This window comes from Homo sapiens, chromosome 4, assembly GCF_000001405.40.
Source record: "Homo sapiens chromosome 4, GRCh38.p14 Primary Assembly".
Lineage (NCBI taxonomy): Eukaryota > Metazoa > Chordata > Mammalia > Primates > Hominidae > Homo > Homo sapiens.
The window spans coordinates 16,681,159-16,704,573 of record NC_000004.12 but is presented as its reverse complement, the minus strand read 5'-3'; the positions used below and the strand labels follow the sequence as shown (position 1 = coordinate 16,704,573).

At 40.0% G+C, this 23,415-nt stretch overlaps 1 protein-coding gene across 22 annotated transcripts in view, besides 1 other annotated feature; it reads left to right on the top strand.

Annotated features, from left to right (window-relative positions):
* Positions 1-23,415, top strand: part of LDB2 (LIM domain binding 2) — a 397,105-nt gene that overhangs the window by 194,072 nt on the left and 179,618 nt on the right. The gene's annotated exons all lie outside the window — the stretch shown is intronic.
* Positions 10,945-12,144: an enhancer, noted in NCBI's record as "BRD4-independent group 4 enhancer chr4:16694053-16695252 (GRCh37/hg19 assembly coordinates)". NCBI's record gives its function as "activates an origin of replication core promoter dependent on BRD2, P300/CBP, MED14 and CDK7 cofactors, and independent of BRD4, by STARR-seq in HCT116 cells {active_cell/tissue: HCT116}" and the evidence as "EXISTENCE:reporter gene assay evidence [ECO:0000049][PMID:35650434]".

Here is a 23,415-nt window from a genome sequence, read left to right as displayed (position 1 = left end):
CATACAAGCTATGGGAATAGATACATATACAGAGCAGGTGTGGGTGTGAATGGGAAAACAAGAGAGATTTATGTGGCTTGCTTTTGATTTTATTATCTACTCCCAATTAAGGCAGAAAATTTGTGGGCAGTTTATACTCCCCATACCATCAAAAAATAATAATTAACAATAATGTTAGTAGTTAAACCTTCCTTCTTAATAACAGTAGAAGTAACAATAATATAGCTATCTGGATTGGTTACAATTTTTGGTTGCAAGAGAAATAAAATAACCCTGGTTAATTTAAACAAAAGGGAATCTAGTGGAAGGCTATCAGGAACTTCTAGAATTGGTAGAAAAAGGAGACCAGGTCTTAGAAAGGGACAGGGGTTTTTGTAGTTCTGGAGGCCAAAGGAAACAGAAATCACAATAATGGTCTTGTACAGGAAGAGACTTTCTCAGGCATCAGTGCTAGAATGAATGAGTGCCTTTTTTTCAGTCTTGTTGACTCTACTCAAGATGCAGATTCCAGGGAGGAAGTATCTGCTTGGCTTAGCATGGGTCACCCAGTTGGGGAAAAGAGGGGCACCCGATAACAGTCCCATCAGGTATATACAATTGAAAGAAATCTTTCCCTAAAGGAAATAAGTTGCTGTTAGATAGAGAAATGGTTGCTAAGTAAATGCAAAACAAGAAACATCCACTATACTAATGTTGTAAACTTACTAAATTTGGAATACTGCACATAAATTATATCTAATTTTCAAACAGTCTGCAATTGGTGGTATTATTACTTGCACACAAATGAGTAACAATAACATTGATAATGCACCCAAAATATTGGCCATACACTAAATGCTAGGCTTTCTATATGTGACCCACTTGGCATGTAGGAAAAATTAGCTTCAGAAAAGGTAAATATATTGCCACCCAATTAGCAAAAGAGAAGTTGTCTGAATAACTCTAAGGTCTGCTTTTAAGCATTATCATATGTTGAAAAAGATAATGATCAGAGTGGTTAAAAAATCTTGCTCAGGGCCGTACAGCCAATCGGCAGTAGACACAGCTGTCTTATTCTAAAGCCTTTGTCATATGTCCAACTGCTCTCTACCCATGAGATTACCCTTGGATAAAAACTGGCCATGACAATGACCTTATTGGCATGTCCATAAACCACATCATTCTCCCCCAGGAAGCTCTCTGTCTACCTTACACACTACATCCATTCCTGCCTTCGCATCTTTGCATAATTTCTTCTACCTGGAACATTCTGCCCCAACTCCTTCCACGACTGGCTTCTTCTCTGCCTTCATGACTCTGCTTAAATATTAGTTCCTTTTTCAGAAAAAATACCTGGTTTCCCAATTTCATATAGCTGCCTCCCCTTACTTTTTACCAGGTCATCCTGTTTCATCTATTATGGCCCATATCACTTTCTGGAATATTGTTTATGTTGCCATTTCTCTCTCCATGTTGACTTGTTCGACATTTATTTTCTCCATTTCTTAGAGCGAGGATTGGCACACAGAAGACGCTGGATAAATGAGGGTTGGTTGTGTATAGACATACACAGGAAGGACAATTAACCCAGTCTGTGTGGTCAGAAACAGCTTCCTAGAGGATCCACATTTAAACTTAGATATTCAGCGTAAGTACAGGTGAGGAGGGTGCATGGGGCATGGATGAGGGTAGAGAGAGTACATAGGCATTCAAGGGCTATAAGCAATTCAATATGGCAGAGTGGGAAGGATAGGGCTGGAGGTCCGTCATGGGAAGGTCATGAGTGGCCCATAAGTTATGGTGAGGAATGACGCCCCAGCCGTGTGGGCAGTCTTCCTGCTTGGGCTTGTGTCTGCAAAGGCTGGTGGGACTGAGCTTCACTCATGCATCCCCATGCAGACCAACAGGATGCATGGACCTTGACAGCCATTGTGTTCACCTTCCCTGAATGAAGTAAATAAGAGGAAGATGACCCACATCACAGGGTCTGCAAGGGAGAGGCACTTGGACAAGGAAAATAAAGTCCATCAAAGCCTGAAACACAGAAGCAGCTTCTTTCACCTTCATTTCTCCTTACCTACTTCTTGAAACTGGCCTTGGAGGAGCACATTGAGTGAGAGGGACGGGGAGATGCTTCAGGGCTGAGGCCTAAAATGATACATGTTCAGGTGATTCAGGCTGGTGTCCCTGTTAGGGGAGTGGGAGGGGAACGGGAGCATGCAGGGCATGCAGTTCAGACTTTTCATTTCATGGGTCCTTCTTAGGAAATACGTTGACAACCATAAGAGAACTTTCCAAGTTCATGGGAAGTGTTGGAACTTGAATATTGCAAACCGAATGGAAATAAAGTATCTGAAACTCAAAGCATTGGATATTTCAGATGTTTTTTCCTTCTGATCTCTTTCCAGCAGCCCTTCAAGGACTTCTTTTCTCCTCAAGGAACTTTGGTCTTTGTTTCATTTTCTTTTTTTCTCCTCCTCTCATTTATAGATTTCTAGAGTTGCAAGAATTATGGAACTCTTGAGCTATAAATTCTTTCTTTTTTAAGACAAGAACATTGTGCTGAAATAGGAAAGGCATTCATAGTAATAGAAAAAGCAGTGGCAATAATGATAGCAATAGTAGTAGCCACAGTAAAGTAATAGCAATAACAATAGTAATAGTGATGATAACAGCTAGCTTGTGTAGGTGTTTACTCTCTGCCAGGCAATGTTCTGGTCATTATATATCTGGTCTTCTTGAATTCTAAAGTAGACACTACTAGTACTATATCCCGAACTTACAGAAGAGGAAAACATGACATGGAAAGTTTAAGTAATGTGAACAATATTACTCAGTGTTAGAACAGGACTAGATCCCAGCCAGCCTGAACGCCACAAGCCGTGCACCTAGCTCACAGGCTGCAGCTGCCCCCAGAAGTTAACTAGAACTGGTAGAACCCCTTGCTTTGCTTCTTTTTACCTGTGTGACTTTCCAAAGGTTACTTAACTCCTCTGCATTTTAATTTCCTCATTTATAAAGTGGAGGCAAGAATGCGGGTTACGATCACAGTGTTCTTGGTGCTATATATGCTAAATGCTTAGCCTTGTGCCTAATGAAGAGTAGAAGCTCACTCTAGGATGGCTACCATTATCATTTCATCATTACTTGTTCTGATAAGGAAACAACTATGATGTTGAGGCCCATGACCTATCCAAAGTTGCGTGGTGCCAGGCAGGTCTTGGACACTCAATCTACTCTACTCTTTTGTGATCCACCTTTCTTCACTTCTGGGAGCAAAATGGGTGTTGAGGTTGGTCAGTAGACTAAGAACATGATTGTCTACTCAAGGGTTATCTATTGAGCACTGATATCTTTGTTATGAAGGCTGAGGCTGCCTTCTAAGGAATCAGGTAGAATTAGAATCACAATCGAGAAAAAAGTTATTTTGCCCTTTGCTTGCCAGATAATCTGAAGGGCAGGTGACATCTTAAGAAGAAGGTTTGAATTCTATTTCAATCACTTCCTTGCAGTGTAGCCTTGGGTCATTATTTAACCCTTCTGTGCTTCAGGGTTCTTCAGCAGTAAAATGGAGATAAGTAAAGTTCCTCTCTCACAGGACTGCTTTGAGTAACAAATGAGTTCATATATGTAAAACACACACTCAATGCAAAATGAGAGCTATTTATATTAGTATTGTTCAATATAAGCTGTGATTTGCTCACTCATTTGTATATTTACTTGCCTTAGCTGATGAGAACATTTATTCTGATCTATTCAATAGGGGGCTTTAACTTTTTTATGAAGTCATTACCTAAATTGTTTTTGTATTCAAACTGGCCCAGGAGGTGTCAGCGGTGATCACTTTCACTCACAATTCAGTGAGATTTTGTTCTCACCTCAAGTCCTCCCACTTTGTATATTTACAAGGGGACACTGGTCAGAGAATCCCATGGCTTTCTCACCACAGGGTCTGGCTTCTGCCCAGCGTATCTTGTCTTGATTCAATTCAAGCCCAGCTTTGCAGGTGTAATGTGATTGAATATGAAGTGCCAGGCAAAACAGAATAAATATAACATAAAATAAAATAAACACACCGGATGTTTTTAGCAAGAAAACAAGTGATAATTGTGAATGTGTTTACGTGTAAGTGAAATGGGGGGCTGGGTTTTTTACTAAGATATTTGAAACCTCTCAGGATAAGAATATCTTCTTACATAGCAACCAAATATATCTAACATATAATATTTTAAAACATTTATATTTTTGGGTTGCTTCAAGAGTCAGTTTCATGGAGTTTGGAAATTCCAAATGAAAAAATGAGAAGTTGACCATTTATTAGAATTGCCAAATAGAATACAGGGCACTTGAGTAATGCTGGAAACATATTTACACTACTAATTATTACAGGTTGAGTAGCCCTAATCTGAAAATCTGAAATGTGAAATGCTTCAAAATTTGAAATGTTTTGAGTGCTGATGTGAGGGTCGAAGGAAATGTTCATTGGAGCATTCTGGATTTTGGATTTTTTAATTAGGGATGCTGAACTACAGTTCAGTGTACAACACAAACCTTCCAAAATCCGAAAAAAAATCTGACATCCTAAACACATCTGGCCCCAAACATTTCAGATAAGGGATACTTGACCTGTATTCATTGTTTATCTGAAATTCAAATTTAGCTGAGTGTTCTGGATTTTTATTTGCTAAATCTGGCCCCCCTACTGTACATGCGTTCTAAGTGGATGCAGCGTTCGCCATATTGGGAATGGAGTGCATTATGGGAATTCTCGTCCCTCTGAGGCACATGTCTGTGTTCCCTACTCAGAGAGGAGAGAACTGAGCAATGAAAATCTGAAGTTTTTCTTTGAGCTATAAATGATCATTTAGAGCTATAAATCTATCTTTGGCATTTTCTTCCTTCTTCCTTTTCTCTACAGTTTTTATTTTTGAAAGTTGCAATTATTGCCTTATTCCTCTCACAATTCTCAGTGTAGTTTCTTTATATTTCTAAATACTCTATATACTTCTCCACCTCACATATTCTCCATGTGAATATATATCTATTTGCATAATGGATATGGATACAAGGCCATCATATACCTAATTACACAATAAAAGTCAGTGGAAAATGGTATTGGTATACAGAACTAGTTTTATAGACAAACTCACAGAAGTAACATCCTATCTCCATGAACCGGAAAGAAATACTTATTACTTGACAATATCATCAGGGAATGAAGTCTGTAGCAGGATTTACTACGCAATTAGTTAGTGATGATCCTTATCACATAGCGTTGGTTGGATTTTTCCAACATGGATCAAAAAGGAATGGCAGAATCTTTTATTTCCAATGTGTTTGCTTTATCAGAACGTCATGAGAAAACACTAGGAGACAATTTTGGCTCTGTATTAGAAGGAGTTATCTTACGATTAAAGATGAAGAATGTGCAGTCCCCTGAAGATGCCATCATCTCCTGCTCTTGACCTCTCTTTATTTTGCTCTCTGCTTAAACCACAATTCCTCTACCGCTTATTTGAACAAATGGGTAAAAAAGCTGTGTAACAATATAAAGAGCTGCCTCTTAAAATAAGATGCCCAATTCCTGACAGGCTGAAGGAAAAATGCTAGCTGAGCTACCATCAGAGATAATATGGAAGAGATCTGGTCATTAATTCAAAACTTTTCCTTATTTTCTTCAAAAGACCTTTGATTGCTGAGACTTTAGGAATTTTGTATTCTATATAACTTTGCTCATGAGAAGATCACTAAGATGCTTGTTACATAAACATACATAAACAATAAACCATTGCGTAGGAACCATGAAGAAAAATAATAAGTTTGCATTTACTTAAATTACAAACTTCTCTGTATGGCAAATAAAATACACTAATAAGTATGTCATAAATACATGAAAAGAATGACAAATCAGGAAGAAATATCTGTAATGTGAATTATAAAACAAATTTTCTTAATTTACAAAGAACCTACAGAAAGAAATAAAAAAATTAACAAATCCAGTAGAATAAAGGGCAAAGGATATTAAAAAAATTCAGAAAGAAATGCAAATAATAAACATATGAAAAGATGCTCAACCTCATTCATAATGAAAGAAATACAAATCAAATACAGCAAGGAGAAAACTTTCAAACTGACAAATCAGAAGTTTGATCATAATGGGGACCTGTGAGGTGTGTGGAAAGAGTATTATCATACACTACTGCTGGGTGTGCAAATGGTGACATCGTTTTTGATGATAATTTGGCAATATCTATCATTCTTCTGATACAATAATTGCTGATATTCTTTTGATACAATAATTCTACCCCCATGAATATTCTTTACTAATGCAGTATTGAGTGTATCAAGACACATGTTCAAGAATGTTCGGTGAAGTGTTTGTAATTAAATAAAAAACAAAACTGGAAAATGATTTGTCAACAAGAAACTGGGTAAATAAAAATAAACTGTACAAGGCAAAGGGACAAAAACAGTAATGGGGTAGTTCTGCAAATGCTTATGTGTAAAACTTTCCAAGACATATTATTAACTGAAAAAAGTAGAACGTTGAACAGGGCACAAATTATCATTTTGTTTATATAACGAATACACACACAAAATGGAATTCATTTTTTAAAAAATATAACTTATCCAATGCCTACAACGTTCCAAGCATTTTTATAGTTGCTAGCACTGCCATGGTGAACAAATTTCTACCACTTCATCTTGTTCTAATTTGCTTTAACTTACTACTACGTAAATCAATCTGACTTACATATATATATTTCTTGTTTTCCATCAGTCTTTCCCTACTGGAGTGTCAACTTGATCAGAGCAGGAACTTTGTCTGTCTTGCCCACCACTTTTCCTCCAACACTAGGGAAGGGAATTGAGGAGCCTCCCTGTAGAGCAGAGAGAACCAGTGATGGAAATGCAACACCATCTGGATTAGAAGAAGAGGGCTGAGGCAAAGAGAAGGCAAGAGCAAAGGAAGGCAGGAAGCAGTTGCAGGAAACAGGGGTGAACTGAAGAGCTGGGGTCCAGGAAAGGTGGAGTAGAGAAGGCCAAGGAGACACAGAGAGGTGGCAGACAGGTAGGAAGAAGCCGTGGTGGGGAATTTCACAGGGAGCCTTAGGAGAGTTGTTTTTTTTTTTGGGACGGAGTCTTGCTCTGTCGCCCAGGCTGGAGTGCAGTGGTGCGATCTCAGCTCACTGCTCACTGCAAGCTCTGCCTCCCAGATTCACGCCATTCTCCTGCCTCAGCCTCCCTAGTAGCTGGGACTACAGGCGCCCACCACCACGCCTGGCTAATTTGTGTGTGTGTGTGTGTGTGTGTGTGTGTGTGTGTGTATTTTTAGTAGAGACGGGGTTTCACCGTGTTAGCCAGGATGGTCTCGATCTCCTGATCTCGTGATCCGCCCGCCTCAGCCTCCTGAAGTGCTGGGATTACAGGTGTAAGCCACCGTTCCTAGGCCAAAGACAGGATTTTTGAAGAACTTGTAATTTATTCTTACTAAAGATGGAAATATAGTGCTTGGCAGTTCTTGAGGCTCCTTTTGTGCTTAAGGCCACTCTGATGTCTGTGGAGACTCCAAGTTACCATTTCCATATTCTGTCCCCTCCCCAAATAGCTTATCCTGTTTACTGGAGAAGTGAGCATTGGATCTGGCTGATATTAGAATCACCTGGGTGACTTTTTCCCCAAAATATATATCTTCCGGCACCACTCCAGACCTACTAAATTGAAGCAATCTGGGTAGAGCCTGGAAATCTGTATTTTACAAACCTCTGCAAGGGAGTCTAATGCAGATTCTGGGCTTGCAGAAACAGCCCATTGGCAGCACAGTGACAGCATTTAGACCCATCATGGAATGAGTATGACCACTGCTCTAAGAAAAACTCTTGCTCACAACCATAATTTGCACAAAATAACACCCTAATGTGCAGAAACCGGTAATAAATATATCTTCTGCTGTGACCAGTTTACAATAGAGAGAGTACAGGCCCTTTGCTGACAGGGTTCTGTTGTCATGATGGTGGGTTCAAATGTCTCCATCCCACTCCTCACAGAAATCATAGCTCTGCTTCCTAAAAGACCCAAATTAGGCTGTGGAGAGACAACTAATTTTGATTCTTAGAGCTGACCTTTTCTTTTATATATACTAACTCCTTTGAAAAAAATGTTCTGAATGTAAATGGCAACTTGGATTATTTTTTCTTCATTTTGGCTAATATAATCGTCATTAGTGCATTACTGAAAAATTGTCTACTCGCAGTTTGAGCTGTGCTGGTTAAGGGACGATGGGTTAGCCTGTCTCTAGGCTCTGCAGCACCTGATCCAGCTGGAAGGGCAGCCCACCACATATAGAGCCCATCATTCATCAGAGATACTCACTGTTCCGCTACAGCCCAGATGATGGTGTGAAAATTGCTTTACATTCCTTCTCTGGAGCTAAAAAGCACAGAGAAGTCCTTTTTCCCCAAGACTAGTCCCATTGTCCTAGCCTACTTTCCTCTCTCCCCAAGGCCTTTGCAGCACTTTCATTGCCTACTCTGTCTCTGCCCACAGTCAAGTCAGGGATCCCATTGCTCTGCATTTTCAGCTTCTTCAGAGCAATGCAATGATGATATGCAACCATGAGACACAGAAGACACAGATACTGCCATTTTGGTGATTTAATCCTGGAAGTGGGAAACTATAGCCTGAAGCTAAATCAGGCTTAACCTCTGTTTGTGTATGGTCTGCAGGCTAAGAATGATGTTTACATTTTAGATGTTTCAAAAAAAATCAAAAGAAGAATAATTTTTTATGACATGTAAAAGTTATGATACTCCAGTTTCAGTGTCTATAAATAAAGTTTTATTGGAAACACAACCACACCCATTCATGGATGTGTTGTGTCATCTAGGGCTGCTTTTGCTTTATAAGGACAGATTTGAATAGTCTTTGCAGAGGTCTTATGGCCCACAGACTCTAAAATATTTAGTATTTAATCCTTTACAGAAAAAAATTGACAATCCCTAGTTCAATCCGTTCTGATTAGATGGTGCTTTTGCTAAAAAATGTTGAGATATATTTTAAAGCACTATGTTTTTGTATAACTTCTTTTTACAATGTTTTATAAGGCTTTCTTTTTCTTCTTCTTTTTTTTTTTTTGACAGAGTCTTGCTCTGTCTTGCCAAGGCTGGAGTGCAGCGGTGTGATCTCAGCTCACTGCAGCCTCTTACCTGGCTAATTTTGTATTTTTAGTAGAGACAGGGTTTCACCATGTTGGCCAGGCTGGTCTCGAACTCCTGACCTCAGGTGATCCGCCCACCGCCCAAAGTGCTGGGATTACAGGCCTGAGCCACTGCGCCCCGCCTAGAGCAATAATTATACTTTTTGTGGCCTGCATCTATTTGGAGCTCTGACAAAAAACTGTAGGTACCGTACCTAGAAAAACACACAAACATATTCAGAAATTTGCATGCATTTCAAGGCACTGAGTAATGGCTGAAGCCCCCTCTTGAGGTTCCTTGGATCTCAAGTTACAAGTCCATGCTAGGGGAATCTGTGAAATGCAACTTGCAAAACTAACTAACGAAACAATAGGCAGGATGAGAAAGGAAAGACAGATAAGAAGGAAAGGTAAGTACACAAATTCCTCTACAAAGAGTTGTTGTTTCCCTGGCAAACTGGGGCCAAGATGCCATGAACTCCTTGCATTGATAGATAGAACATCAGCATTATAATCATAACTCTAGGATTCATTAGATGTTGATTACACTCCTGGCACTGTCCTGTGTTTACCTGCGTCTGCACTTTAAATCCTCTCCACAACTCTGGAAGGTAGGTGCTTGCTACACATGTAGCCGACGAGTACATGGTGGTAGAGAGAATAAAGCTATGACTCTTGGCCATGTGATGCTAGATCCTTCATGATGAATAACAACGAATGGATTTCATCTCCTTGCCAGAGCCCGCACACACCCCATCATAAGTTTCAAGCCGGCTGTGTCCAGCTAAGATTTGGAAGGGCTGGGAGGGAAGAAGGCCTTGCAGGAGGTGGGCATGAGCCACCTCGGTAGACATTCCCCAGACAGGGAGAATTCAGATGCCTAATTTAGTCTGTTGTGCTTTGTAGAAACATCCTCCATTAAAATAAACATGAACTACAATGATACTTCCATTTAATGCAGCGATTATTCCCTCAGCCTTATGTTCTGGCACCAGCTGTGATCGGTCAATGTTCTTAAAACAGAGGAGAGAGAAGTGTGGAGAGAAGGGGGAGGAGGATGCAGAGAAAGCCTCTCTTCTGAGTTTCTTCTCCAAATTGGTGGAAAGTGTGAATGCGCAAGTAAATATGGCAACGTGTTTGTAAAGTGCTGTTTTCACAAGCAACCATCAGGGTCAGGAATCCATTAAAATCCTTCCAGTAAGTTATCCCGAATGTGCGGACCAAATCCCAACTGAAGAAGCTTTCTCACAGTGTGGGCATTCAGCTAAGCTCTGCAGCTTTCAGGCAGAATGAAATAAAACCAGCCACAAATTACACTGGCAGCCCCAGAAGGGGTCCGTTGCAGCCCCACTTTTCTGCTTCTACTTGTCTCAGTGCTATCATGAGATCAACCAGGAGGAGCGACAACAGGTAACCTACACTGTTGAAAGTTTGAATGATTTCTGTATATAATGAAGTGGACTTAAGGTTATTGCCATAAATTTGCATCTCACTTTCCTTCGCTGAGAGGGAGAGAAAGGATGGTGTGTCAGGTCTCCCCTGGAATTCCTGGAATTCTTCCCCATTCTGGCTAGTGTCAGCATTGGAACATGTGCCTCAGCAGAAAGAAAAAGATGTGTATTTGCAGGGAAGTGCTGCATTCGCATTGCACAGTGGCATGGATGCCTCATGGCACAGTTTCTTGGCCTCTGCATCACTGTGTCCCTCTTTAACCTCTCTGCTGTGCTTCAGGTTTGTCACAGAACTAGAAACACACCACAGAAGGTGATCAGATTCAGCAAGAAAAGAATAAACAAGGCCGGGATCACGAGGTCAGGAGTTCAAGACCAGCCTGGCCCAACATGGTGAAACCCGTCTCTACTAAAAACTACAAAAATTGGCCGGATGTGGTGGCACACGCCTGTGGTCCCAGCTACTCGGGAGGCTGAGGCAGAAGAATCGTTTGAACCCAGGAGGCGGAGGTTGCGGTGAGCCGCGATGGCGTCAGTCACTGCATTCCAGCCTGGGCAACAGGGCAAGAATTCATCTCAAAAAAAAAAAAAAAAAAAAAAGAACTATTGCTCTAGGGAACAAGTAGCCCATAGTTCAAGGGCATAACCCTGTCAGAAGATTCTGAGACTATGACAGTTGCCTGGCTCTTCTCCCTATGGATTCTTAGGTACCAAGATTCTTGAGGCTCAAATAAAAATCATGATTCATAAATATAAAGGCCTTTGATTCACACTGTATTCTTAGAGACTCACTCCTTGTGTATCTCAGGACATGGTGTCTCCACTGCCAATATCCTGCCTGAAGCCAAGCCAAGGCCCTCGAAACTCATTTTATTTGCTTGCCTTTTATGAGAATTACAGGGGACCTGGTCCAGATAATTACCTAATTCCCACTCTAAAAATAGCTAGCTCTGGGGGGCAGGGAAGAAAATATTAGGAGAAAACACTTTTGTAATAATCTCTACCTCAAGGAAACTAGGAGTTAATGCACACACTCACAGCAGAGGAATAAATTGCCTTGGATTTCTATAGCAGACATCAGCTTCATGCTTTTCATGTGTACATATAGGCCAGTATATGCATCTGTGAGAAACACAAAAGCGAATAAGCCATAATCACCAACTTAGCACAGGTCAACTCAGCCTCATGGACTGCGAATGGTTTCTGAGACTCACCAAGACAAATCATCATATCTGCATTTTTCTTCCTGGCTCTGTCTCTCCTGCTATGCTCCTCTGACCAGCTTGAGGGGGTGTGGGGAGTGGAAAATTCCAAACTTGAAGAGGTTCTTTTTATTTCTTCCCCCTGCAGTGCAGAGCTTTACCAAAAAAGAAGAGGAAAAAAAAAGTATTTTTTCTTTCCACAGAAAAGAAAAAAATTAAACTTGTATGACTGATATAAATATTACATGTTCAGGGCACCAGTACCTGTACATCGCTACTTTCCAAGGTGAAGTTGGAAGTAACCCTTTTGCTGCTGCTGGCAGATTTTAGACTAGATACATCCCTAAGGGCAAGGTCATACCTAACTTTTTGTTTGTGTATTTTGCCGAGGGACTTAAGAAGACGTCAGATATGCTTATTCTGAAGGTCTCAGCAATTAATCAAAGATCATTTTCTGCTTTATAGCCTCTGGGCATGAGTCAATGTATGTATATCCAACTTGTACTTCATCCAAATTCTGATGTATAACTCATAAGTTTATGTACGCATCTGCATTTTGATGTCCTAATACTCACATGATTCTCCTTTCCATGTAGAATTTGTCCCTCTAAGAACACTTTTTTTTTTGCCTCGTGATGAATCAAAGGCTGCTACTTTCAATCTGTGTTTATGATAATTCAATACTGTACTGTGGTTCTCAGGATGTCACCAATGCCACAGATTCAGCACAATAAAGTCACTGGAATATCAAAGAGGAAAGGTCAGGCATTCAACTTTGTGTAATCGCAAATAGCATCAGTAATTAGCCTGCAGAGAAAAGATGTAAATAAAATTCAGGACAGGAAGCAGCTTCTCAAGGGATTATTAATTTAAGCAGAGAAGGAGTCCTTAACAGAAGGAATGAAAACCTGTATGTGTCAGACACCTACACTCCTTTTGATGATGGTCATCATGAGAAGAAAATGAGTTAACTTCTCCCTTTTATTTTAGAGTGAGAAAATGGTAGAATCAGAATTTAGAAGATGTGGAACTGCCTCTATTCCCCCAAAGAAGGCCTGAAACTAAAGCTGCCAAAGCTAATAGTCCAAGTTGAGATTGATCTCACATGTGTTGGCCAGAGTTCTCATTCTTGAAATTAGATACTGAACTGTTCCTCCATGCACGAAACAATGGTGTTTGCTCTTCCATCCCTGCTTCCATCTCCTTCTCTCTGTCCTGGGTTCTTGCCCTGTGGTTAATTAGTCTACACTGTTCTTTACCTCTACTTAATGAGTAGCATTATATAAATGCCTCTAATAGTGCATAGTCCTTATTTACAGAATAGCCTATTTCTCTTCGGGCAAAGAATATTATCGTTGCAGTGAATTTTCATATTTGCAAAGCTGTTCCATGTCATGGTTATTCCTGTAACTTCAGTGGCTCGTACAGTTCCATGAACATGGTAAGCTCTAATTAACTCTTTGTTGAATGAATAATGAAAGGGTAAGTACTACCTTTTCACATAAAAGAGGTAGCATAGTCCAGCTGAAAGAGAAAAGACCTTAGAGCCTTAGAGGCAAGCAGCCCTGGATTAGAATGACAGCCCTGCCACCAAGAAGCTATTTGACGTTGGTGACCTATCTAATGTATCTCATCATGGTTTCCTCACCTCTAAGATTTGGATAATGAAGCACACCTTGTAGTTATGCAACAAGTCTTAGATATCATTAAAGAACATAAATTGCCTGGACTATAATAGATGATTAATAAATGCTGCTGGTGGAGTGCTCATTTTTAAGAGATACAACAGGACATCAGAGATGGCTTCCTTGAGACATAGGGGAAACGGTCTATCTGACTCAAGCTTATTTCTAGATAATTGCAGAGTCATTTTAACTGTATTAAAAATACTTCTAGAATTCAGTCAACAATGGAGTTTAAGGTTTAAGAAGTTTACCACAGTTTGACTTAAATACTGAAGCATAACTTTGTCTCTTTCCCACCTCATACTTCAGCTCTCAAGGTAGAAGTTCTAATCAAACTTAACTGATAGGATTTACATTTTTGTTTGCTCTGTTGAGCCTGAGGGTTGTCCATTGGTTTAGAAAGACCAACCTCAGCTCCTAGATGATCAGAGCAGGTATAAAAAACCATACATCTTTCTTCCCTTTCCTTTCCTTCGTTTCCTGTCTTCCTTTCCTTCCTTCCTTCCTTCCTTTCCCCAACCTCCCTCCCTCCCTCCCTCCCCCCTCCCTCCCTCCCTCCCTCCCTCCCTCCCTCCCTCCCTTCCTTCCTTCCTTCCTTCCTGCAGGGTCTTCCTCCGGTTGCCCAGGCTGGAGTGCAGTGGTGTGATCTCAGCTTACTGAAATCTCAACCTCCTGGGCTCAGGTGATTCTCCCACCTCAACCTCCTGAGTAGCTGGATTATAAGTGTGCACCACCATTCCCAGCTAATTTTTTTGTATTTTTAGTAGAGATGGTGTTTTCTCATGTTGCCCAGGCTAGTCTTAAGCTCCTGAAAAAACCATAGACCTTTCAAGTGCCTGATGGTTCTTCATTGGAAAATCTTGGCAATAGCTGGTGTAGCATTGTTTATACCACACACCCTTGTGATAAACTTCCCCATGAGTTAGAAACTGAGGACAGTGTGTTCCTTTTCTAAGATCATGGCCATTAAAAATTAGCCCAACCATCTTTATTTATTTGATTGGCTAGCTGAAGTTGACTAAGTGCACACATAGGTATCACCCAATTTGGGTTGACCCTTTCTGAAGCCTCCTTCTGAGGCTGCTTTCTACTGGGATTTTCTCATTAGAGGTAGTGTTAAGGAAGGCAGAGCTCTGCAAATAGATTTTCACATTTACGGCTTCAAGGCCTAACTATTCTTAGAAGTTTCTAAGACACGGTCAATGTCATTAGGTTGTATAATATTTAGTAAGTGATTTACAGAAATGAGCAAATAGAAGCCATTAGCTCACCAGAATGCATCATTATTCACTTGTAATCCAAGCAAGACCACATTCCAATAAGAAGCTACTCATTTACTATGCTCAGGGGCCTAGGTCCCATATTTTTAAATCTTCAGACTGGCTCTACATGGAGGAATTTATTTCCCTCAAATTATAGATGAGGAAACTGAAGTAGATTGAAGAATTTAACAGGAGTCAGACAGCTTCTAAGTGGAAGAGTTAGGATTTGAACCCAGGCCTACCAGAATTTTATCTCTTTTGTGTAAGGCCTGGAGATACCACAAAGACTCCACCATAGAGCTTATCTTTGAAAAGCTCACAGGCTGTTAAATATGCATAACTGTATTGGATAGCCAAATGTAACATCATGAAACGTTTACATAAAGAGATTTGGAAGTCTAAAGGGAGGGTTCATGGAGGAAGTAGTGTGCCAGTCAGATCTTAAGGAATCGGTAGGAATTTTTTAGCTTTGTTTCCTTCTGGCTACTAGGCAAGGGTAGGAACTGGCAGAAAATTGGGGAGCGGAGGAAGGGAAAAGCTAGCATATTCCCCCACCCTGTGTTGTGGATTTGGGTGCTGTCTCCAACATCAGCTTTGTACCCTCGGTGATCCAGCTCTGGTAGGACAGCTCTTCCTTCCATATCCCAGCTCATTAAAGGTTCCACCTACCACTGAGTGACCTTGGGTCTAAATTCTTGTCTTTCCCTTCCATCACCAGGGCATGTAGCAGCATCCTGCTGTTAGTAATTTCCAGAGTGTTCACAGTCCCCTAGCGATGGTCTCAGCTCCTCTGTCATCTGTTTAATTCCCTGTATTATATTCCCTCTGTTTGAAATAAATAAAGTGTTTGTTATTGTTGTTGTTTATTTGGATAGACTTTGCCTGATGCAGAATCCACAACTATAAAACTAATATTCATTTTCTGTTTTGAAAAACCACATTGAAAATAACATACATATTAGGAGAGATGAAGGACTGCTAGGAGCAAGAATAGAAGCTAGAGATTTTGAATTTAGTTTACAAGACTTTGTATGTTCTTGACATTGAGCCTGTAGATTTGGTATTTGGTGTGGAGAACATTACATAGTATCAGCACCTCATTGAAATTCAGCCCATTCTCTGTTTTGAACACAGCTGAATTGAAAAAGCTCCAAACTAGGTCTCCTGGACAAGTCATTCAAGACTCTGTGAGAGAAGCAAAACTTTATTATAATTTATTATTATCAGATCCCATATTATAATCTAATGCTGTAACAGTAATTACTGCCATAAAACAAAATGCCATTTTGTGCTTTTTTAAGAAAATGGAATAAAACAGAAAGGAAGAATCTATCATTTCTTATGTGTCCAGTGCATGGACAGTGGCCGAAGCTGGCCTCTCAGTGCTGCAAGACTCAGGCAGCTGCCATCAATGCCCAAGCCCTGCCTCCTCTGACATGAGGGCCTGGGAGGCTGCTTAAGCACCTGCCTGAATTTGATGGGATGAAGGATCCCCAAAACCATATCCACTTTATTCAAAAATTTTTTATTTCATGAGGGTTTCCTTTGTCTTATTCCAAGTTCCTGAATCCATTTGCTGTTGAACTTCTGTATTCCTACTGTGGGGAGGCCACTCATGTATGCAGAGTAGTTGCAAAAACAATGCGAACTTTAAGGTCCAACAGGTTTTTCAAGTTCAAATTCCCATTTGTGCATTTCTATACCTTGTAACTTGGAATAATTCACGTAAGTCTTTGTATCTTATTTTCTTTATCTGACTCATAATGTGGTTCAGAAGCTAACGTTCAATGTAAAAAATTTAGCCCAATGCCTGCCATTTGTTAGGTGCTGAACAAGTGGGATACTACTTTTCTGAATCACTGTAGGCAATGTGTGTTGAATTGGATAAGAGCTCCTTCTCTACCAGTTTTGCCCCCATATTTTTGCTTATGATGAATAAGGTTAATTTCAGTTCCAAAACGTGCTAACTTCTCTTCCTGAGAATTTACAAGACAGTTCCTAGAATCACATATTCTTACATGTTAGCCTTTTTCCTGATCTCCTTTTTGCTCCAGGCCTAGCATGGTACCTTGTACAGAGAAAAGGCAGGGTGGGTGTGGGAGGGTGCAGAGTTCCTTACATTGGATGAGTATAGCACATTAGTTGATATGGGTAAGTACATCTCCCAGTTGGGTCTGATAGTGTTTGGTTTCTAGAGAAGTCCAGACTTAGTTTACTTATTCCTCTTCTTTATTATTATTTCCATCATTAAAAATATGATCCTTATCTTAGTTTCTGCTGCTGTGCAGACTGGGTGGCTTAAACGACAGATATTTATTTTCTACCATTTTGGAGGCAGGAAGTCCAAGATCAAGGTGCCAGAAGATCTGGTGTCTAGTGACAGCCTGCTTCCTGGTTCATAGGCAGCAATTTACCTGCTGTGTCCTCAAGTGGCAGAGAGTAGAGAGCGAGAGAGAGAGCAAGCTCTCAAGTCTCTTTTTATAAGGGCACTAATCCCATTCATGAGGGCTTCACTCTCATAACCTTATTACCTTCCAAAGCCCTTACTTCCTAATACTATTAAATTGGAGGATAGGATTTCAAAATAGGAATTTGCAGAAAACATAAACATGTCGACCATAACAATTCATAACAAGAAACTCATGGCATTACATTAATGAACTGAAGTTAATGGTTTTTTTTTTCAAGTTTATAGAGGAAAGTCAGGCAATCTAAATGTATATACAGTATTTTTTTCACCCCATATTTCACTGGTAAAAAGAAAAATATATATTCTCAAGCATTCTTTCTGAAACATTAGGATGAAGAAAAAGGAGAGGTGGAAAGCAGAAAGTAGGGAAGAGGAATAAGAGACCAAAGAGACTAAGAAGTCAGACTTTGAAAGAGTGAAAGCTGGAGGAATAAGGATCCCCCCAACCCCACCAAAATTATGATTTGTAGCAAGAGCAAGGATATGCATTAAAAACAAAGAAAAAATCAGAATGACAGTTTTTTGTACCCATGGACCTATATGCTACTGGCAACCTGAGTTTGAGCAATTCCTCATTGATTGATTGATTCATTCATTCATTCAGAACCAGGTGGAATTCACCTGCAGTATCCTAGGCTCTGTAACCATGTCAAGAACAAGCTAGTACTCCTGACTTGGATTCTGACAGTCTCTCTGCCTTATTCATCTTCTGACAGCTCAGTGGTTTGGAAGAAGCAGTCTCTGATTTTTAGGTTTGAAGGGAAGGTTGTTTTCAGATTCTCTGCCTCAGTTGTCAGCATTTCTGCCCAAAGATTCTTATCATTTCTTGAGAGTCACACACAAGAGCAAGAGCACAATCTGTGAGGTCACGTAGTCTTTCCTTGCATGTTTTGTCTTTGGGCAAGTTGCTTAAGCCATTGGAACCTCAGCCTCTGCATCAGTAAGAATGAGAGTAATACCACCCACTTTGGATCATGATTATACAAGATTCCAATGTGATGACTAGCACAGTAAAAATAATAAAACTTCTTCCTAATTGTGCATTCTGCAGCCATCTCTTAGGATGTAGGTTATTGGCTTAGTATGGGATAAATAGTCACACGGAAGGGAGAATTTGGGCTATTGCTTTGTGAGGATCTAGTTAAGGGGGTCAAGAAATCCTCATTTATGGTTACTCTCTGCTTCGAGTGGCTCTCTGGCCAGGGAAACTGAATTCTTAATATTGTGATTAGCTTTGATCTGCCATGTTTACATATTTTGACTTTTGCCTTTTTTTTTAGACAGAGTCTCTCTCTGTCACCCATGCTGGAGTGCAGTGGCACGATCTCAGCTCACTGAAACCTCCACCTCCCAAGTTCAAGTGATTCTCTTGCCTCAGCCTCCAGAGTAGCTAGGACTACAGGCACACACCACCATGCCCAACTACTTTTTTTTGGATTTTTAGTAGAGACGGGATTTCGCTGTGTTGGCTAGGCTGGTTGCGAACTCCTGACCTCAAATGATTCACCTGACTCGGCCTCCAAAAGTGCTGGGATTACAGGCATGAACCACTGCGCCTGGCCTCTTTTGCCTGTGTTTTGGTGACCACTTGGTAGAGAATGCTTCCGGATTCTGAGGGTGGGCAGCTTTGCTTGTGATGTTAGGATAATAGTGAAGAAGATTCCTTTAAACTAGTCATGAAATCACGTTATTTGGATTCCATTCACATTGGGACATCGAATCTGCTTCCTTCCCCCTGCTACTTAATTTCACATACATGACTTTATTTAATCCTTTCAGGTAGAGAATATTAGGTCCATTCAACAGGTGAGGAGATGGAGCCTTATAGAGTTTATGTAACTCATCTCACCGTGTCCTCTGAGTCAAGTCAAAGGTTTTTTCTAGAGCAGTTAGCTTTCCAGCAAAAACAAAACAAAACAAAACAAAAAAACAAAAAACAAAACAAAACAAAAAAAACTTGAGAGATGTAAAAGGTATCTGAGGTAACCTCAGCTAACTCCCTGATTTTAGGGAGGCAGAAACAAAGACCTATTGAAGTTAAATGGAGCGAGTGAGGATCGCATCCTCCATACTGGCAGAGCCAAAATTAGAACCTGGTCTCCTGGGACTCAAGCTCTGCTCATTAGCAGCTGGTAAATATCCTTTCCTTTCATCAACTGTTTATGATAGAAGTGTTATTTATTTTATACAGAAAGTTCTAAATAAACCTGAAAGACATAGCTCCAAAATAGAAGAGGAAAACTGAGGCCCTTTCCAAGCTATACATGACAAGATTTTCCATTTTGGGTTTTCTGCCATTTCATCTCTAATTTAGGAATCAGTAAATTACAGCTTGTGGGTCAAATGCAGCTCATCGCCTGTTTTTGTAAGTAAAGTTTTATTGGAACACAGCCATGCCCATTTATTTACATTTCATAGCTATAAATACAAAGTAGAGTATCTGTAAAAGAGACAATATGGCTCATAAAACCTAAAACATTTACTATATGGTCCCTCACAGAGAAAGTTTTCCAGCCCCTGCTTTAGTTAATACTTGTTATTGGCCTAGAGTTCTGAATTTATATTCTTTAATAAGTTTTGCTTTCCCTCATAGATGATAATGTGTGGTGGCGATGTTATCAAATCCAAAATCCAAAGGTCCAAATGTTTCTACTGGGCTAAAACCTGAATATATTAGATCTAGACTTTTCTTCATCTTAGAGAGCAAATTAAAAACAAGGTTTCGCTATCTAGATAATAACACACCACCTTTTCAAAGTGTTTTTCTCCCACAAAACAAGAAATATACTCTGTCAGCAGCTCAATAAGCCAAAATATGATGAATGAGTAATCAGGGAATATATACATATTTTGTAGAAAATTCTTGACGATTGGAATTCTACCTAAATCCAGCCATTCTTCATTTGTTAGTTCTTATTATGATTGGACAGAAATAACTGCAGTCATGTTTTCTTCTCTTAGAGTCATCTGGCTTGTATTTCTGCTTGCACACATTAAAAACAAAAGGCACACAGAGCAAAACTCACACGAAATTTCCGCTGAGATTAGCTTGCTTCGAGTCATGACTGTTGCTGTTTATTTAGCAGACTTTTATCACGTCACTAAAAACAGATAGAGCAGAAATTAGTTGCTGATGTAAAAGTTGCTGTAGAAAAGAGAAAGTTTGTATCTGTTGAGGAGCCCATCACATTAACTGTGATAGACGTGGCATTGCTCTTAATAGATCAGTTCCCATTTTCCATGGAGGAAAGTAGTTGCTGCCAGCTGGCTGCCCATTCAGGAACTATAATGCCAACATCCTATTTTATGTTCCCTTATATCTAGGCAGGTCTTCTGATCCATTACTGCTAATAGAAAGTGAGATAAATGATGTGTGTTGCTTTCCAGCTGGGTGGTTAAGAAGCAGGTGAGCCTTCTTCTCTATTTTCCCAGATTAGAAGGATTAGAGGCTCTGCAGGTGATGGGGCCACAGGAAGGAAGAGCTGGGTCTTTGCATCCCTGCAAGGTAAGCTTCCTATTGAACCTCCCCGTCAGAAAGTAGATGAACAAGAAACAAATTTCTGTTGTGCTAAGCTGCTGAGCCTTGAAGGTTCATCTATTATGGAATCTAACATTAACGAATATGCTAATCCATCATTCTACTTTTATCTATCCTGGCACCTTCGTAAGGTGAACAATTTCTAGTGGCAATGGTCTTCACTGATAGAAGTTTACCCTCTTCTGGAAAAATACTTCTCCACATTTCTGAGCAGTTTTACTCCTGTGTTCTTTGTTAATTGGTCCTGAAAAATGACACAATTTTAGAGCTGAAAGAAACTTTGGAGATTACAGTCCAAGCAACTTCTTTTACAGATAAGTTTTATAAATGGTATCAAGTGGTCAAGGTCCTGTTTGTAATTAATGGTAGCACTAGCTCTAGGTTGCAAGTGTTTTGATTCTCCTGAAGCTCCATTTTTTAAAAATTTCACCATGGTATACATTTTTAGACTATGTGAATTTATAATTGAAATTATGTTAGCTCTTGGGATTGAGAAAGCATAATATTAGTATTAAGGCAGGAAGTACGCCTATGTGACATCTTCCAGCTGTACAGTTATCTACAAGGGGAATTTTCCAAACATGAATGTATTTAGAGATAAATACAGTTGTTGGTTTTGTAATGGATTGTTTAAAGTTACACTTTTTGCGGGGGGAGGTGCGGTACTCCATAAACATTTAATTAAGTTTACCTCTCATTTATCTCTGAGATAGAAAGCTCCCAAGTGGGTTGAGTTTGTCAGGCTGAAAAACTGCATTAGTGCAATTTACCAGAGAGATTTGTAAATAGGAAAGGCATTCATTAAAGGACATGTCCCAGAGTTACATGTCTTTGGTAGAAAAATCCTGTATGTCAAAATGAAAGTGGGATGAATCAGAGTTTCTTGAGAGGTATTACTGGGGGCTCAGAAGACAAGCCTCAATAGCTAGCACGCTGTTTCCCATCTTGGTTGTGAACAAGTAATGACATAAAATACAGCATTAAAGATTAGTCTGAAATGTTACCTTTGGTTGGAGGACTCAACATGAAGTCTGTCTCAGAATTCTGAGCCTCAGAACCAGGTGCAGGCAAAGCTGCACTGGGGTAAGTCTTTTCCCTCCAGGAGCTAAGTTGACCTCTGGGGAACGAAGAAGGGAGGTGCTAAGCTGAGCATACCAGGGCTCTGAAATTAACTGAGCTGCCATCATAGGAAAGAAACATCAGGCGTGGGGAGGCAGCATTCCCAACCAACTGGTGGATAGTTCAGAAGGGTGAGAATAAACATTTACTGGGTATCTAACAATATTTGTCATTATTCTAAGTGCTTTATGAAATAACATTGGTCATTGTCACAGCCACCTTGTGTTGAGGCTCAGTGGGCTGTGAGGAGGCAGAGCGTTCAGTTGGTAAATGAGGGAGGAGCCAGCTGACGATGCCTGGTCTCTCCATTTCCTACAGGCATTATTGTACTTATTTTTCTATCTCTAATAATCCTTGTCCTCAGAGAAATAAAATAAACTGCTTTTTATGGCTGACAGAATCTAAATTGGGATTTTTTAAATTTTAACTAGTTACTTTTTGACTTGTTTCTAAGGCTTTGCTTTTTCCCTGACAGATTAAAATTATTACAGTGTGAGAACATGTGCTTTTTACTTATTTAAGACTCAAATCCATCAACTATCTTAAACAATTATCTTCTCTCTGTCTATATAAAATAAACACGATGATGAGCAATGTTCAAATGATATTAATTTTTAAAGGTATGTAGTCACCTGGAAAATCAGTCAGTTCTGCATTTTACTGTAAATCTTCATTTATAAATAGGCACCCGTCCTCTGTCTCTTGATGGTTTAACTTAATGCCATTAAAAGTAGAAGAGATTTCTCCAGCTCTCAAGTTGCAGAACTGGAATCAATGTATGTTGTTAAAATGAAGAATAGAGGCCGGGCACAGTCGCTCACGCCTGTAATCCCAGCACTTTGGGAGGCCAAGGCGGGCAGATCACGAGGTCAGAAGATCCAGACCATCCTGGCTAACACGGTGAAACCCCGTCTCTACTAAAAATACAAAAAAATGAGCCAGGCCTCGTGGCGGGAGTCTGTAGTCCCAGCCCAGTGCAGTCCCATCACTGCACTCCAGCCTGGGTGACAGAGCGAGACTCTGTCGCAAAAAAAAAAAAAAAAAAAAAAAAAAGAATAGAATACAATTCAATTATTTGCCTTATCCTACAACAAAATGATTGAATTCATTCTTATTGCTATGTAACAAATTATAACAAGCCTAATGGTTTGATGTAACACCTATGTATTATCTTTCAGTTTTGTAGGTCAGAAGTCCAAATGGGCTCAACTGTGTTCTCAGTTTAGGTTCTCACAAGGCCCAAGTCATGGTTTCAGCTGGGTTGGGCTCTTATCTGTAGGGTCTTGGGGCTATTTTACTTGCAAGCTCATTCAGATTGTTTGAAGAATTCAATTTCCTATGGTTATAGAACTAAATCCCCAATTTCTTGCTGGTTGTTGGCCAGGGACACCTCTCAGCTTTTGGGGGTCACCCACATCCCCTTTATCCAGTCAGGGAAAACCTATTTCAAATTGAATCCCTTGAACAATTAAAATCTCTCTGATTTCCTCTTCTACAACCAGCCAGAGAAAAC